General features: G+C 44.4%; 1 annotated feature.

The window, feature by feature from the left end:
- Positions 8,399–8,508: a silencer, noted in NCBI's record as "silent region_9530". NCBI's record gives its function as "represses an Ori minimal core promoter by ATAC-STARR-seq in GM12878 lymphoblastoid cells {active_cell/tissue: GM12878}" and the evidence as "EXISTENCE:reporter gene assay evidence [ECO:0000049][PMID:35858748]".

The raw sequence follows: 18,919 nt of genomic DNA, 5'->3' as shown, positions 1-18,919 counted from the left end.
TGAATTGGCTTGTTGTGGGATTCAGGAGGACGAGAGAGACCTCGGGTTGAAAGAGGAGAATCTTTATTGAGTGCACTCAGGCCCACCTGACTGACGTCCAAAAGACTGGGCCCGGAACAAAGACAGTACTTGACTTTCATACACACTTCATAGAAGGGGGTGGGCTAGCTTGAAGCAAGCTTACAGTGGCGTGAAAGCAGGGATACAGAGGCAGGACAAAGACAGGATTGCCATGACCATTGCCAAGCAACCCAGATGTCCGTTATCTAGGTTTGCCTGGGCACACACAAGCTTATCTTATAACCTTCGCTATGGTGCCCAGGCAGCTGTAGTTCAGGCCTGCTTAGGCTTCTCATGACCTTCGTTGTACTTCTTAGATAAAACAGAATACTTGAAGTCACTAGTTACAGAGAACAGGAATCTATAAACTCACTCTGTAAAACAAAGGAAAATTTGTTTTCTTTTCCCTATGTTGAAGGAGTGCTGGGAGAGTCTCCAGAGCACATTAGATAATATTATCAAAACTTTTCCTGGGTCTGGGCTGTGCCTGTTGCTGCCTCTGGGAAAAGTTAGCCTAAAACAGGAAAACTTATTTCTCTTTCTTTTTAATTTTGTTTTTCTTTAATTTCCCCCCTCAGGCTTAGGTCAGCAAACTACATAGCAAACAGGATATACTAGGCCCCTGCTTGGATAGCCAATTCCTGCTTGTCTGCCTCCCCCTCCCCCACTTCTCCACCCCTTTATTGCCCTCACCCAAACCAAAGAAGTGTAGTCTAAGATGAAAGTTTACTAGCCTGCAAAATAGCTCGTTTTGTCTGTTCTTATCAGCCTGCCCAGTTTTTATTTAGGTCATAAATCAAATACTTGAAGAGCCCCAGAGCTGACTAGGATTGCAATGCATTGTGGGCTGCAACAAAATGCAGCAAGACAACCCTAAAAAAGAAAAACACCTAAAGTCCCTACTTAACAATCAATAGGCAACGTCTGGGAAGATTGTGACCCCATGCCTATGTGTTCCCAGGCTATGAGGCTGGAGTCTTTTGGACGTAAGTCAGCTGGGCTTGAGTGCACTTGGTAAAGATTCTCCTGTTTCAACCCGAGGTCTCTCTCGTCCTCCTGAATCCCACAACAAGCCGATTCAAGGCACTTTGTCTTGGAAATGGATCACTGTGTACATTATTTCCTTCAGTGCTACATGTTGGCATACTTCCAGGGTCTTGCATCCCTTCCCCTGTGATTCTTCCCTTGGTATGAGTTGTCCACATATGCAGTGGCCTGTCAGCACTATGTGTTCCCAGACTATGAGGAACGAGGGGAGGGACCTGCGCACTGGGAGATAAATTGCTTGTTGAAACTGCACTGGGTGTGCCTGCCCATCAGACTCCCAATCTTGCAAGACCATCATTAAAAGTCTCACTCTCGCTGTTCTGTGGGTCTTTGAGACCATTCTTTGGGTTTGGACAGGTGAGTTTGTTTCTCATAACACCCTAAATCAGAAGTCAAACTGCACACTTGATCTCTCAAGTCACCCACTTGGCCCTCTTCCAAGTGTATTTTACTTCCTTTCATTCCTGCTCTAAAGCTTTTAATAAACTTTCTCTCCTGCTCTAAAACTTGCCTCAGTCTCTCCTTCTGCCTCATGCCCCTCAGTCGAATTCTTTCTTCTGAGGAGGCAAGAACTGAGGTTGCTGCAGACCCATGTGGATTTGCCACCAGCAACAAATTGATTTCACTTTCTATTTTTTTGAGATGGAGTCTCACTTTGTCACCTGGGCTGGAGTGCAGCAGTGGGATCTCAGCTCACTGCAATCTCTGCCTCCCAGGTTCAAGCAAGTCACGCCTCAGCCTCCTGAGTAGATGGGATTACAGGCGCGTGCCACCATGCCCAGCTAATTTTTGTATTTTTAGTAGAGACGAGGTATTGCCATGTTGGCCAGGCTGGTCTCGAACTCCTGACCTCAAGTGATCTCCCCGCCTCAGCCTCCCAAAGTTCTGGGATTACAGGTGTGAGCCACTGCTCCCGACCTGACTTCACTTTCTTTCCACATAAGCAAAATTCCATATAAATCAGCAACACTGTTTTTACCCATTGACAAGGTTGTGTCCAGTTCATCGATCATTCCTCAGGTTACACGCACGTGACCTACCTAAGTTTATAACACAATGCTTAAAAACAGATTTCAATGGGGGCAATTTCTTATTAAGGCATTTTGATAATCAGTTGATTTCAATTCTAAAACTAAATTAAATTTGTTTTTCTCTTAGTGGAAGGAGGCAGCAAGATATATAGAAAAGGCCTTTAACTCCAGAATCCAATGATGGTTTCAGTGCTCAAATTAATAATGCAACTTTTCTAAGCCTTGGGTTTTTTAAATCAAAAGGTAGAGATAATCATACCAATGTCATAGAATTGTTGTAAGGTTTAAATAACGATCTTAAATCATGAGTAAACACCACTCTTCCCATGCATGCAACTGAATGCCAATATCGCCCTAGACATTTGGTCGTCTAGCTAGGATCCTCCCTTCCCTGGCTTCATGTTAGAATCACCTGGGAGTATTTAACGAATACAGTTTCCAAGCTCTACCCCCAGAAATTCTGGTGTAATTGATCTGTGGTGGGGCCCAGGCGTCATTATTTTTTTAAGGTTCCCAGGCGAAGTGAGGAGCCCCTCTGCCCGGCCAGCCGCTCCCCGTCCGGGAGGGAGGTGGGGGGGTCAGCCCCCCGCCCGGCCAGCCGCCCCGTCCGGGATGTGAGGGGCGCCTCTGCCCGGCCGCCCCTACTGGGAAGTGAGGAGCCCCTCTGCCCGGCCAGCCGCCCCGTCCGGGAGGGAGGTGGTGGGGGTCAGCCCCGAGCCCGGCCAGCCGCCCCGTCCGGGAGGTGAGGGGCGCCTCTGCCCGGCCGCCCCTACTGGGAAGTGAGGAGCCCCTCTGCCTGGCCACCACCCCGTTTGGGAGGTGTACCCAATAGCTCATTGAGAACGGGCCATGATGACAATGGCGGTTTTGTGGAATAGAAAGGGGGGAAAGGTGGGGAAAAGATTGAGAAATCGGATGGTTGCCGTGTCTGTGTAGAAAGAGGTAGACATGGGAGACTTTTCATTTTGTTCTGTACTAAGAAAAATTCTTCTGCCTTGGGATCCTGTTGATCTGTGACCTTACCCCCAACCCTGTGCTCTCTGAAACATGTGCTGTGTCCACTCGGGGTTAAATGGAGTAAGGGCAGTGCAAGATGTGCTTTGTTAAACAGATGCTTGAAGGCAGCATGCTGCTTAAGAGTCATCACCACTCCCTAATCTCAAGTACCCAGGGACACAAACACTGCAGAAGGCCGCAGGGTCCTCTGCCTAGGAAAACCAGAGACCTTTGTTCACTTGTTTATCTGCTGACCTTCCCTCCATTATTGTCCTGTGACCCTGCCAAATCCCCCTCTGCGAGAAACACCCAAGAATGCTCAATAAAAAAAAAAAAATTTTAAATAAAATAAAATAAAGTTCCCAGGCAATTATAAATCACAACCAGGTTTCAGAATCAATGGACAGAAGAATTCTCAAATTGAAATCTAGAAATCAATTTCAACAGAATCACCAGGGTTGATTACAGAATGAGGATTCCAGGGCAGAGCCTCACCCTATGCTGACTGAGTCAGAATTTCTGGAAGGAGCCTTAAAATCTTTTTTTTCTTTTTTCCTTGGGTGTTTTTGAGATGGGGTCCTGCTCTGTGGCCAGGCTGGAGGGCAGTGGCACAATCTCGGCTCACTGCAGCCTCTGCCTCCTTTGTTAAAGCGATTCTCGTGCCTCAGCCTCCCTAGTAGCTGGGATTACAGCCACACGCCACCACACCCAGCTAATTTTTGTATTTTTAGTAGAGACGGGGTTTCACCATGTTGGCCAGGATGGTCTCAATCTCCTGACCTCATGATCTTCTCACCTCGGCCTCCCAAAGTGCTGAAATTAAAGGCATGAGCCACTGTGCCCAGCCAAAATCTTCATTTTTGACAACTTCCCCAGGCAATTAGAATGTATACTAATTGCCTAATTTATTTATTTATTCATTTATTTATTTATTTGAGACAGGGTCCTGCTCTGTCTCCCAGGCTGGAGTGTGGTGCTGCTATCTTGGCTCACTGCAGCCTTGATCTCCCCAGACTCAGGTGATCCTCTCACCTCAGCCTCCCGAGTAGCTGGGACCACAGGTGCACACCACTATGCCCGCCTAATGTTTGTATTTTTTTGTAGAAGTGAGGTTTTGCCATGTTGCTCAGGCTGGTCTCGAACTCCTGGGCTCAAGCACTTCGTCCACCTCAGCCTCCCAAAGTGCTGGGATTACAGGTGTAAGCCACTTCACCCAGCCACTACTTTTATTTTTCTTTAATATATGGAAGTACGGATTTATAACACTGTGAAGCTAGACATTGTTATGATATTTTTACAGATGAGAAAACTGAAATTCAGAGGAGTCCAGTAACCTTCTCCAGGTTAGGTGGTCCCCATCACTAAGAAGTGGTCCTCTTTAACTCGTTTGTTCCATGGCTGCTCTCTCAAGTGATTCCTTACTGAGTCATGAAAACCATTTCCCACTCCCCTCTTCTCTCCCACTACCTCATTAAAGGAATTGTTTCTGGCCAGGCGCAGTGGCTCACACCCGTAATCCCAGCACTTTGGGAAGCCAAGGTGGGTGGATCACCTGAGGTCAGGAGTTCAAGACCAGCCTAGCAAACCCCATCTCAACTAAAAATACAAAAATTAGCCGGGTGTGGTGGCGGACACCTATAATCCCAGCTACTCGGGAGGCTGAGGCAGGGGAATCATTTGAACCCAGGAGGCAGAGTTTGCAGTGAGCTGATATTGTGCCACTGTACTCCAGTCTGGGCTACAGAGTAAGACTCCATCTCCAATAAATAAATAAACAAGATGTAACCATTGGGGGAAACTGAGTGAATGGAGGCCCTCCGTACTATCTTTGCAATTTCCTGTGAACCTTTAATTATCTCAAAATTTAGAAGTTAAGAAGAAATACAGTGAAGCAACTCCAATAAGCGGCATATCTAGCTTGTTTAGAGCAGGCCCAGGATGTGTAAGAGGTGCACATTCTAGAATATATTTGAACGTAAAGGTAAAGGAGATGCCCCTGGTCCCCACATCATGATGCTAAAAGTGCATTATCTTTTTTTTTTTTTTTTTTTTTTTTTGGAGACAGAGTCTCGCTCTGTCACCCAGGCTGGAGTGCAGTGGCGCGATCTCAGCTCACTGCAAGCTCCGCCTCCCGGGTTCACGCCATTCTCCTGCCTCAGCCTCCCAAGTAGCTGGGACTACAGGCGCCCGCCACCACGCCCGGCTAATTTTTTGTATTTTAGTAGAGACGGTGTTTCACCGAGTTAGCCAGGATGGTCTCCATCTCCTGACCTCACGATCCCCCCGCCTCGGCCTCCCAAAGTGCTGGTATTACAGGCGTGAGCCACTGCGCCCAGTCAAAATGTACATAATCTTAACACCTGTTCTGCAGTGAGAAGCTCTATGAAGCCCCAAAGACCAAGGAAGCTGAGAGGCCACAGAAAGAGGCTGATAAATCCAGTTTCTCAGAAAGAAACATGTCATAGGGGCTTAGGAACAGAAGCCATGTTCCATGCAGCCCTGAGATGGTGGATCCCACCCTGATACCTTCCAGACCCAGGGCTTATATACCATAGGGCATTTGCCTAAGGGAAGGATTTATGGTAAGTATGTGTTTATGATAACATAAAGGTTGTTTTGACCTAAGGGCCGGATTTACAGTAACTATGAGAGATTAGAAATCTTAGAGGTATTCCCAGAACTTGGGTTAATCAGAAGTCATCTTGGGAGATTAGTATCCAAGATACAGTTGCTGTAGCCTCCATTACCCTGGCTCCCAAATACAAGTTTCTGGGAGCAGATCGATATACGTATTGAGCACCTGCCATTGGGCCATGCACTGTGCTAGGTGCAAAGATCATTGAACGTGGACTCTACAGCAAAAGCTAATGCGACATTCAGAGAACTGAGGCCTGTGCCAAGTATCTCCAGCAGAAAGCAAAATGGGAGAAGTGCCAGGAGTGTGAGAAAGGAACATTCAACCTTTACTAGGTGCCTGTTACAGGACAGAACTCTGCTGGGTCCTCGGGATATGAATATGACAAGTAGCACATCCCTGATGTTAGGGAGCTCACAATCTAATCCAGGAACTGGGCACACACACAAACAACGGGATATACTTTCCAGCTATGTAAAGCAAGCCTTCAATTGTGCAACTTTGTTTAACAATATATCAAACAGTATATACCATTCCCATCAGCAGTGCCTTAATCATAAGTAAACACATAGAAACACCTAAAGGAGTACCCATGAAGCTACAGATGCGACGTACAACATGACAACAAACTTCACACCAGTGCCTTAGTGTTCAGTTTCCTTGCAAATTCAAGGAAATAATACTAATGAGTAATGGATCAGGTAGATCCTTTTGCTTGCAAGTAACAGAAACATAAGCTTGCCCACAGTGAAAGGAGACAGTATATGTCCATTTAAACAAGTAGGGTAGGCAAAGACCAGGGATTTAGCCCAGGCAGGACATTATCTCACTTCCTTTCATCTCTGCTTCTCTCTGCATGTTGGCCTCAGTCTACCGCTGCAGGTGGACTTTCCCCAGGCAACAGGAGACCTACAGCTTCATCAACACCTACCCCATGGCCAGAGAGCACAAAGCTCTATCCGGCCAGCTCCAGGCAGGCAGACCTCAAGGCAGCATGCTGATTGGCCAAACTCTGGTCACATGTCCATCTCCAGACCAATTAGTATTGTCCAAGTCTGTTACCAATGAAGTAAGTCCCACGGGTCACTGAATTCAAATTGTTCCATTGCAAAGAGTGTCACCTCTCAGATGCCCTTTCAGAAACCTTAGAGCAGTTATTATTGCAATGATTAAGCAACAATTAATAATAACAAGCCAAAGATCTTCCTTGATTTTAACTTCACGAATTTAAAATTTATTCTTATGTATACATAGCACTGAATTGTATTTGTTTAAAAGCTCAAAATCACTTTTTAATGTTTATGATATATTAATATACAATGTAGGACTAAGAAAAATTATACTTTTGTAGGCCAGGTGCAGTGGCTCATGCCTGTAATCCTAGCACTTTGGGAGGCCCAGGTGGGCGGATCACTGGAGCCTCAAATGCTGGAGGAGGCCCAGGGAGACAGCACGTCTCTATCAAAAAGTCCCCCCTGGGGTTACAGGTCATGACAACCCTGGAGGGGTAATGGCAGTACAAGAGTGTGTCTAGGCCGGGCACCATGGCTCACGTCTGTAATCCCAGGACTTTGGGAGGCCAAGGCGGGTGGATCACCTGAGGTCAGGAGTTCAAGACCAGCCTGGCCAACATGGCAAAACCCTGTCTCTACTAAAGATATAAAAATTAGCTGGGTGTAGTGATGCACACTTTTAATCCCAGCTACTCAGGAGACTGAGGCAAGAGAATCACTTGAACCCGGGAGGCAAAGATTGCAGTGAGCCGAGATCATGCCACTGCACTCCAGCCTGGGCCACAGAGGGAGATTCTGTCTCAAAAAAAAGAAAGAAAGAAAAAAGAAAAAAAAAAAAAAGAAAGAAAAAAGAAAAATTATACCTTTTCATTTAGTTGACTAATAACCATAGGTATTTGTGTTTATTACATACTTTCAAATATTAAATTATATTTCTTTTGAGATACTCCATAATTTAGAATTTTCCTTTATGTAAACTCACGTTTTTCCCAATAACTCTAAGCCAATGAGGCTTGGCTCCTCTCTCTGGGCCTTTCTTTCTCTCTCTCCTCAGTCAAACCCACCCTCTCTGCTGCTCCCATAAAACGTCTAGGAGAACTGGTTAATTTCCTCATAAGACAAGATATTTGGCTTTAGGATACAAATGTGACTGGGCAGGCTCTCTGCCCAGGGACTGGGCCCAGCTCCGAGTGGGGTTTGTTCCAACAGAGAATCACCCTAACAGGCCCCAACAAGAGGATCATGGGTTCCAGCTTCTAGGAATGAGGGCTTTTCTGCTACATGATGCCCAGCACCTTGTCTTCTGTGAATCTTGGCTCAAGAGAATGAATTCACACTTTGAGGAAGAATGGGGAAGAATTTTTGGGTGTGGTTTTTGGTTGTTCTGTGGGGGGTTTTGGCCATTAAAGAAAATAGCTCCCATTTCAGGCGCATATTCACCCCAGGAATGGGGTTGCTGAACTGTGCCTTTGAAGAATGAATGCTAGTACTCAAATCCATCATCACGATGGGCACCCTACCTTAGGGATGAAGTTTTATGTGGTAATAAGTAATAAAATATATATGTACGCATTTCGAGAGACATAGTTACATCTCATGGAATCAGAAGCAGAACAAGCTGTTTCCCCAGAGACTCTTTTTTTAACTTCCTGTCAGCCTCAGTGATGGCTCCACAAGTGTTTATTGCCAATGAGTGACATAATCGCTGTCTCATTCAGACAGCACATTTTGCAAAGACACTCCGTTTGACTCACTCAGACATACTGGGTGTGTGTGTGTGTTGTAATATTTCTATAAGCTACCACGTGCTTTTAATTTATTGAGTTTTCAAATGTCTAGGCATTCACTCAGGTTTAAAAGTAAGTACTCAAGAAATAAGCAATCTATATTTCCAACCACAACACTTGTTAAATTGAATAAACAGGAAAAAAAAGGAATGAAAAATAAGCTTTTTAGAACTATGTTTCAGGCTGAATGAGGTGGCTCACACCTATAATCTCAGCCGAGGCAGGTGGATAACTTGAGGTCAGGAGTTCGAGATCAGCCTAGCCAACATGGTGAAACCCCATCTCTACTAAAAATACAAAAATCAGTTGGGCATGGTGGCAGGCGCCTGTAATCCCAGCTACTCGGGAGGCTGAGGCAGGAGAATTTCTTGAACCCAGGAGGCAGAGTTTGCAGTGAGCTGAGATCGCACCACTGCACTCCAGCCTGGGCGACAGAGCAAGACTCCATCTCAAAGGGACAAAAAGAAAAAAAAAAAGAACTATGCTTCAAATGGCTCATAGAACATAAGGTAAAGTTCTGCACACTCAGGATTCCCCCGCCTGTACCATGACACGCCCTTGACTCATTGCTCATTTTAGGTAACTACCATCGCTGCCCTCCAGGTGCAAACCTCTCACCCTGACTTTACTATTTCTTTCCCGCTTGCTTCTCTGCCCTGATTAGTTCTCCCTGAGGCACACATCACCTCTGTTCACCACCCTACCACTATGGGCCGTTTTAGAAGCCCTGTTCTCCTGTGAACAGAGAGGGGTGTCTGTGTTTTGGAGTATGCGTTATTGGGTGTGGCAGCCACCTCCAGGCAGGTACACCCAATAACCCAATAATGCCTCTTTCCCTTACACTCTCAGGCTCTCCCACGAGCCCAGGCATGGCCACGATTAGCAAGCAAAGGTGTTGAAAGGAGTAAAGCAGAAAGTATTTTAAAGAAGGCATAACAGAGAAGACCCAGTTCTCCTAGGCCCCACTCCCACTCCAATAAAACAAAAGACCCTCTGATTTGGATGACAGAGGAAGAAGCCTTGGAAAGAAAGTAAGAGGGTAAGAGTCAGTGTAGGGGCCACAAAATTTGCCCTTCATTTGGTAAGTCGAGTTGGGGGTGGAAGGAGAAGTAGCAACACACAATAAAGCTCCCTTTTCACTTTCAAAATCCAAGAACAAGAAGGGCCTGAGCCTCAAATGCTGGAGGAGGCCCAGGGAGACAGCAAGTCTCTACCAAAAAGTCCCCCCTGGGGTTACAGGTCATGACAACCCTGGAGGGGTAATGGCAGTACAAGAGTGTGTCTAGGCCGAGCACCGTGGCTCATGTTTGTAATCCCAGCACTTTGGGAGGCCAAGGCAGGTGGATCACCTGAGGTCAGGAGTTCAAGACCAGCCTGGCCAACATGGTGAAACCCCGTCTCTACTAAAAATACAAAAATTAGCCAGGCATGGTAGCACGTGCCTGTAATTCCAGCTACTCAGGAGGCTGAGGCAGGAGAATCACTTGAATCCAGGAGGTGGAGGTTGCAGTCAGGCGAGATCACACCATTATACCCAGCCTGGGTAACAGTGAGACTCTGTCTCAAAAAAAAAAGAAAGAAAGAAAAAGAAAAGAAAAGAAAAAAGAGTGTGTCTAGGCTTGGGAGGGCATCTGGACATACCCATGGCCACCCCCTGCCAGGGGTCTATTGTGCCTCAGATGCAAAGCTCACATCCTAATATCTATCCCAGGGAGAGGAATAGTGCCTGAAGTGATCATCCTGAATATGGTTGAGCTTGTTCCAATTGTGACAAAGCTTTAAATCAGTAATGCCCCCAAATTACTGAATGTAGCTGGATATACTTAAAAGTAGCCAGACTATTTTTCCCTTTATGAGAACTAAATTCAGTTATCAAAAAAGTTACATTTTTGTATATCTGATTTTTGAAAATGTATAACATTACATGCATGATTTAACCTGTATTTTCAGACATTTCTTTGTATACCTGTCCCATCTCCATACACTTTAATACTTGGAATTTGACTTTGGCCCACTGGCACCACATCCCCTTACAATCTTCTCTAATGAAAGGTGAGTTTTGGCCAGTCCTCCCTCAAGGGAAGCGTTCCCTAACCACCCCTCCTCCTCCTTCTTCCTTTAAACACTCTCACAGAAGCTTCTCATCATAGCATTTATTGTACATGATTACCTATTTCATTATCTGTGATTATCTCACCTACTGAACTGTAAGATCCATGTCTTTTTTTATTGCTTCTATCTCCAGGATCAATAATGGTGCCTGTCCTAAAATTGGTATGCAGTAGAATCTAGCAGATTCTCTATTTACGAACATTCAACTCACAAACTTCACAGATATATACAAGCTCCTCTGGAAGACCAGAGTGCATCAAATCTAAACAGCAACAATATTATGGCCTAATCTCTATTACAAATACAGTTAACTTATAACTAACATAAACAGGTGGCTTTCCTTGGAACACACCCCACTCCGCTGCCTCAAAGGATTACTACTGGGACCACCCTTTGGCAAAATAAGCCCTATCTTCTTCTGTTGATGTCTTTCCTGATCTTCAAGGCCCAATCTAAAAGCTTCACCATTCTATATCTTATTTCAGGAGAAAATTCAGCTCCACTTGGGATAGTTCAATGAGACTATTCATTTTAAACGTTCTTGATTTTGATTTACTTTTTGCTTTCCCAATTATAGGCAGACTTGGGGAGAAAGTTGACCAATATAAAGACAGGGAGAAAAGAGAAGCCTCAACATAAAAGTGAAGTCTTGGGAGGGTGAGGAATGCTGGTTAAGCTATAACATGTTTGGAGAGATGGTGGAGACCAGCAGGGTAGTCCCTTGCCTTGTAAGTTCCTGGTGGGGTGGCTTTACTTGCTGCTAGCATTCCATGCCCTTCTTAAAGCAGCAGCCTAGGGGCTTCCACATGCCTTGTTTGGTTTTCCTCAAACACTGAGTGTCTGGAATACATCAGACACCCAAGACAGAGTGGAAAGGCATAGACTGTCCTCAAAGAAGATGAACAACGAAATGGATGACCGCAATCTGATGTGAGACAAATGTCAGGGCAAAGCGTGGGTAGAAAGAGAGCAGCACACTTGTAATCCCAGCAGTTTGGGAGGCCAAGGCAGGTGGATCAAAAGGTCAGGAGATCAAGATCATCCTGGCCAACATGGTAAAACCCCGTCTCTACTAAAAATACAAAAATTAGCTGGGCGTGGTGGTGCATGCCTGTAATCCCAGCTACTTGGGAGGCTGAGGCAGGAGAATCACTTGAACCTGGGAGATGGAGGTTGCAGTGAGCCGAGATCATGCCACTGCACTCCAACCTGGGTGACAGAACAAGACTCCGTCTCAAAAAAAAAAAAAAAAAAAAGCAAAAGCAGCACCCAGCCTGAGGAGGCTGAAGCCGTAGGAGAGAGAAGGGCAAGGAAACGGGAGAGGTGAGCATTCACGGTGGGGATGGGAAGGGAAGAAGCTCAGTGCCTCCTCCAGAACTAAGAGCCAATACATAATGACTAAAGCCGAAAATCTACAAACAGAAATACATGTGGCTAATTTGGAGAACTGGAAGTAAATTTCAAAATGACCAGTTCAGAGGTAGTGAGACATCTGGGGAGGGGAGAAGTGAAAGGGAAAGGGGCTGATGCTTTTCATAATAAACCCTACAAAACTCGGGTGTCATGGAGTCATGGATAAAACAAAACAAAACAAAAGAGGGAAAACATTAATTGAAACCTTATTTGAAAGCTACATAATTTCCATCATATGGAAATGTCATATTTTTAAGCAATTTCCTACTGTTGAATATTTGTTTCTATTTGTTCCTAATATAAAAAAGGCTGGTTGAATAGATTTATCCATGGATCTTGCTCTGCATCTCTGTCTATCTCCTCTGGGTAGATACCCCTTCCAGGGCAGAAGGTCCAGAAAAGCCATGCCCTTTCACCATAACCCACGGCTCCCTCTCATTAGAACCAACGAAACAGCCTGGAGGACAAAGACCTTCATGAACAATAATACATTTAATTAGTTTCATTATACACTTATTAGTAAAATTATACATGTTGATTACTAGTTTAATTTTATGGATGCATCTAATTTTTAACTAGCCCATCCCACCCAACCTCAGACCCCAAGGGAAAGGGAAAGAAAAGCAAGCCAAAAGTGTGACCAGCAGTCCGAAGGAGTGTCAGTGTTCCTGGGCCCAGGCCAAAGCAGGCCTGTCAGGGATGACTGGACATGTGCTGCTGAGGGTTACAGCCATCCTGAGAGCCCAGTCTTGCCAGAGTTGGGAGCAGAAATGCAGTCCAGCCCAGCAAAGAGACACAGCCCAACCCAGCAAACAGGAACTTGGCCCCCAAAGCCAGAGCTGTGCTCATATTTCACTGCCACAATCTCCATCAATATAACTGCTGATCTGGAAGCTGTGAATGTTTGTAAGCTCTGGATACATAATGTCAATCCACCTTCCAGAGTTCTGGTGCTGCTACTTTGTATAATTGTTGTTGCGCCAAAAATGATACAAACACAATATTGACCTCTAGATTCTTGCAAGCGAATGTATGAATGTATAATGGTCTTCTTCTAGACGGATTTCAGGAAAATGGTAAGGTATTGCCCTGAGCTATGAATTATAAATTGTGAAGCAGGTAAAGTCATATCCCTCACGTCTTGTCTTTGTTTCTGGAGTCGGTCCTGTACTGTCCAGCACAACAACCACCAGCCCCATGGGGCTACTAAACACTTGACATGTGTCTAGTCCACATGGAGATGCGCTGCAAGTGGAAAGTACACACCGGATTTCAAAGATCAGTGCAACAAAAACACTGAAAATGTCTCATTAATTTTTTATATTGATTACATGTTGAAATTACAATATTTTGAATATGTTAGGTTAATAAAAATACATTTGTAAAATTATTTTCACTTGTTTCTTTACACTTGTCTTAATGTGACCACTAGAAAATTTGAAATCATATATGTGGCTCACACTTGTAGCTTGCATTATTTTTCTATTGAACAGCATTGCTCTGTAGAGAAGTAAGCGTTTTTCAATTCAACCCAGAGGGCTGTGGGCCAAGGCTTACTTCACAGTGGGTTTCCTAATCTGTGCCTTTCGGTGTTGCTAGCCCTGAGCCTACTACCTCTGGCAATTTTCAAGGAAGGCTACAAGGAAAGGCAAGCTGCTTACCGTTGAATCCCCCTGTTCCAGCTGCACGGATAGAGAACTGTATTTTCGGGGCATTGCCAGTAGAGGGCATTCTTACCACACTTAAGACCAAAAAACTGGAAAACTAACGAATACAGATTGTCTTTAATACATTCTGGATTGTTAGTTAATTAAGAGATAGATTGACTGAACTAAGAAAATAAAATTAATTCAAGAGTGGGAGAATTTCTTTAAAATTTGCAGATGAAACTGGTATTTGGGGATTGATCCAATGACCAAAAAAAAAAAAAAACCATTAAAAGGAGCAACAGTATTTGAACTGCTTTTATTTTTTTCTAAAACCCTTTGAATCACAATTTTTAAAATAATTTTAATTCCTTTGTCAGACCACTAGACACAGAAGAGTGAAATTCTTAAATTTTCTGAGGTAATTACTTTATTTATAAAGGAGCTTTATCCTGTCATTTGTACAGAATATTTATAACAAAAGGTTGACCTGGAAGTCAATATTTCACGTTGTGTCAGAATGCTCTTCATGGCAGTTACTCATCTGAAGCTAACTGTCTCTAGATACTGCTTCTCCTTGGAACCATTTAGTAATATTTGGATCATGAATTAGCTTCAGTTCATGTTGCCATTGCTCAGGGTTCTTGATTGCTGACTGGTATCCTTGTCAGAAGAGGGAAATTTTGGCTGGCGCTGGTGGCTCATGCCTGTAATCCCAGCACTTTGGGAGGCTGAGGCGGGTGGATCACCTGATGTCAGGAGTTCAAGACCAGCCTGGCCAACTTGGGAAAACCCCGTCTCTACTAAAAATACAAAAATTAGCTGGTCATGGTGGTGCATGCCTGTAGTCCCAGCCACTCAGGAGGCTGAGGCAGGAGAATCAATTAAACCAGGGAGGTGAAGGTTGCAGTGAGCCAAGATCGCACCTCTGCACTCCAGCCTGGGTGACAGAGTAAGATTCTGTCTCAAAAAAAAAAAAAAAAAAAAAAAAAAAGAGGGAAATTTGGGCACAGAGACTCAGACACAGAGGGAGAACATGATGTGATGACGATGGAGGCAGAGATGGAGTGATTTGTCTGTAAGCCAAGGAGAACCAAGGGTTGCCAGCCACCACCGGAAACTAGAATTAGGCCAGGCAGGATCCTTCACTAGAGCCTTCAGAGGGAGCATTGCCCTGATTTTCAGACTTCCAGATTCCAGGACAGTGACAGGATATATTTCTGTTGGTTTTTGTTTGGTTGGTTTTATTTTTAAGACAGGGTCTTGCTCTGTCACCCAGACTGGAGTGCAGTGATGCAATCATGGCTCACTGCAGCCTCAAACCCCTAGGCTCAAGCTATCCCCCCTTCTCAGCCTTCCAAGTAGCTAGGACTACAGGCATATACCATGCCAGACAAGTTTATTTTCTTTTTTTAAAATCTACTTTTTGTAGAGACAGAGTTTCACCATGCTGTGGAGGCTGGGGGTCTCAAACTCCCAGGCTCAAGCAATCCTCCTGCCTTCACCTCCCAAAGTGCTGGAATTGCAGGCATGAACCACCATGCCCCAGGCTCCATTTCTGTTGTTTGAAGCCATTCTGTTGGTGTTACATTGTTACAGCAGCAATCCAGACACAATTTTCTGTTTTCAGAGCTAAAACATTTGATAAGATTTCTTTAAAATTATTTTTTAAATTTCTTTCAATCCATCACAGAAATATTTCAGAAAAAAAAGAGCTAGGAAACCTATTTGTTTAGATTTATTCACATAAGTATGCGCATTAATTTGAAAATAAATGCTTATATAAAATTATATAAGATTGGTCAGGGGCTGTGGCTCAGGCATATAATCCTAGCACCTTAGGAGGCCAAGGTGGAAGGATTGCTGGAGGCCAGGAGTCCAAGACCAGCTTGGGCAACATGGTGAGACTCTCATCGCTACAAAAAAATAAATAATTAGCCAGGCATCATGGCACATGCCTGTGGTCCCAGCTACCTGAAAGGCTGAGGTGAGATTGCTGGAGCCCAGGAATTTGAGGCTGCAGTGAGCTATGATGGCAGTGCTGCACTCCAGCGTGGGTTACTGAGCGAGATCCTGTCTCTTTAAAAAAAAAAATTACATAAGATTAATAAATTACAGAGATAGGCCAGGCGCAGTGGCTCACGCCTGTAATCCCAACACTTTGGGAGGCCGAGGCGGGCAGATTGCCTGAGCTCAGGAGTTCGAGACCAGCTTGGGCAACACAGTGAAACCCTGTCTCTACTAAAATACAAAAAATTAGCCAGGCATGGCAGCGTGCACCTGTAGTCCCAGCTACTTGGGAGGCTGAGGCACAAGAATCGCTTGAACCTGGGAGGCAGAGGTTGCAGGAGACAAGATCGCACCACTGCACTCCAGCCTGGGAGACAGAGCGAGACTCCATTGCAAAAAATAAATAAATAAATGAATAAAATAAATAAAAATAAATTACAGAGATAAATATATCCCAATCCCAACTTGTCATATACATATTTCTTCATCAAGAACCTGCGGCCTCTCAGTATCGTCACATGCTGCATCTTAGCTGTCACACTAACCGTATGATATTGACATTAACTGGTGATGAAACGGGACTTAATGTCGCTATGTGGTCTAGCCAGGCTCAGGCATCCAGTACCTGATACCTGCTTTTCTTCTCTGGGTTAGAGTAAAAAGAATGTCCACAGCAGAGATGAGCTTATGAATTGATTGGAAAATAATTTTCTTTAAAACTTCTCTAGGGAAGAATCTCCACAGACCACATTCTTGGCACCATCCTGCCACCCACCTTGGCCCCATCCTGCCACCCACCTTGGCCCCTGCCTTTCTGCTCTTGAAAAGCCCAGCTTCTCCTCTCCCACTACCGAGAGGCAGCTCAGTAATGAATTCCTCTTAGTAGCCAGCCCAGCCCAGCCCAAAACAGTCTCTTCTCCTTCCTGAAGTTCCTGCTTGTAACACTACTCGCCGTTATTACACAGGATTGTGTATTGCTTATTTCTCCATATGTGAATAGATTGTAAGCTCTTTGAAAATAGGGATCATGCCCTACACAGGGAGTTCCCTGTGAAACTGTGAAAGCTGGAAACACCACGAATGAATGCTCATTTCTGAGTGCCAACAAGAAGTCCCAGGTCCGAGAATAGCAAATGACAGGTGCTCCAAATGGGATAAATGAACTAATCTAAAGTTGATTCCAAAAGCAAGCACTGCATGACATGGAAAGGGTTTATAACTTTGCACGTTATAAGGGTCACTGGTGGTGCACAGGAGATGAAGGGCAGTGGCCACTGTTGGCAGAAACCCGCATGCTGTTCTGTTTTCCTAAAATAAAAAGGAAGCATTGGCCAGGCGCAGTGGCTCACACCTTTAATCCCAGCACTTTGGGAGACCAAGGTGGGCAGATCACCTGAGGTCAGGAGTTCAAGACCAGCCTGGCTAACATGGTGAAACGCCATCTCTACTAAAAATGCAAAAATTAGCCAGGTGTGATGGCGGGCACCTGTAGTCCCAGCTACTCCGGAGGCTGAGGCAGGAGAATGGCATGAACCTGGGAGGCGGAGCTTGCAGTGAACTGAGATAGCACCAATGAACTCCAGCCTGGGTGACAGAGCAAGACTCTGTCTCAAAATAAAATAAAATAAAATAAAATAAAATAAAATAAAATAAGAAAAAGGAAGCATCCAACAGTATCCACGATGTGGTAAAAATGCAGAAACACAGAGCAGTGGGGGCGTGATGTGCTGGGGATGCTGGTGAAAAAGAGGAGCCCGAAAAGAAGGATGGAGAAAAACACCAAGCAGAGGAGCAGCTTTACTCAATCGGTAGAATATCCCTAACTTGGAGCCTATCAGAGCTGACCCGACTACATGGAGAAGCCTTGGGCATTAAGTGTCAGAATTCACTGCAAGATCTGAGTGAGAGACCTTACAAAGGTAACATTCAATACCTTTGTAAAGTACTGGGCTCCATTAATAAGTTTCCCTACAATTTCATACCTGACAGTCTACATTACATAAGATAGCATTATGCTGTGTCTGCCGCAGTGATGCCCTAGAAACAGGAGACTGTTATACGGTCTACTTTATTTTCCCATAGGAATAATGCTACACCTTGGCATCAAGTAGTTCATAGAGGTAAAAATAAAAAGCACCACCAGTTACTGAGTGTCTGCTATGAGCCAGGTAATTGCCTGTTCTTGAGTCTCACTTCAAAATCTCTAATACTTTCTGTTATACCATGGAGTCTCAAGAGGCAGGCATAAAAGCATAGGTGCAACTTTAAGCATCCACAGTAATTTCAAGTGATATAATTATTTTCTGCTTCAAGGGACTGATTTAAAGCAGCAAGATAACTTAGAGGTGATGTAGCTTTTTCTCTTCACTGACAAGCAAACTAAAGACAAAAGAGAGAAGCTAAGTGACCTTCCCAAAGTCAAAAGGTAAGGCAGTGGGATAGCTGAGTATAGAACTGAAGTCTTCTGATTCCATCAGACTCCTTTCATCCAAACCCCTTCCTTTACTCTCTGAGAAAGGCACCAAAGCTGTTGAGTGGAAGAGGCAGGCTTAGAACTTAGGACTTCTGGACTCCAGAGAGAGCTCTTTGCACAACATTACAATGTGTAGACACAACACCATAAAATTACAATGTCACTGTTGGTACTTCTAAAATATATCTGTGTTGTTAATACTCATGAGTTAGACAATCAATGCCCAATGCTTCCCTTTTAGGGAAATTTAGAAGGAGCTTGGAGAGTTAGGTACCTTTCACATAATAGTCAACTCAATTTAGATTTGTTGATTGACATATTGGCCACTTGGATCAATTACATGATACTTTACACTCTGGGGTCTTTGAAGAGAGCCAACTTCTAAACAAGTTAATGTTTCCATCTCCCTCCAAGGTATACATTTCCCCTGACCTAAATCAACCCCTTAGGGGCTCTTATAATATCCCTTTCCTGGAGTTTCTCACTTGTCCCTGGCACAATAAGACTACTTTGCTTAGGGGTATTCCTTACCTTGATAGGGGTAGTATATTTTCTCTTTTAAGAGGGAACCTGAACCTTTTGCTACTACAAAGTCCCTCCATTGGAAAAAATGAGCCCTAAAACACAAGGAGTGAAAGCAAAACATTTCTGTCTTTTCATGTCTTTATTGGTAATGTTCCCAAGCATAACATCTCT

This window comes from Homo sapiens, chromosome 18 (assembly GCF_000001405.40).
Source record: "Homo sapiens chromosome 18, GRCh38.p14 Primary Assembly".
NCBI classification, from domain to species: Eukaryota; Metazoa; Chordata; class Mammalia; order Primates; family Hominidae; genus Homo; species Homo sapiens.
The sequence above is the reverse complement of the archived record's forward strand: the minus strand, read 5'-3'. Positions and strand labels throughout refer to the sequence as shown.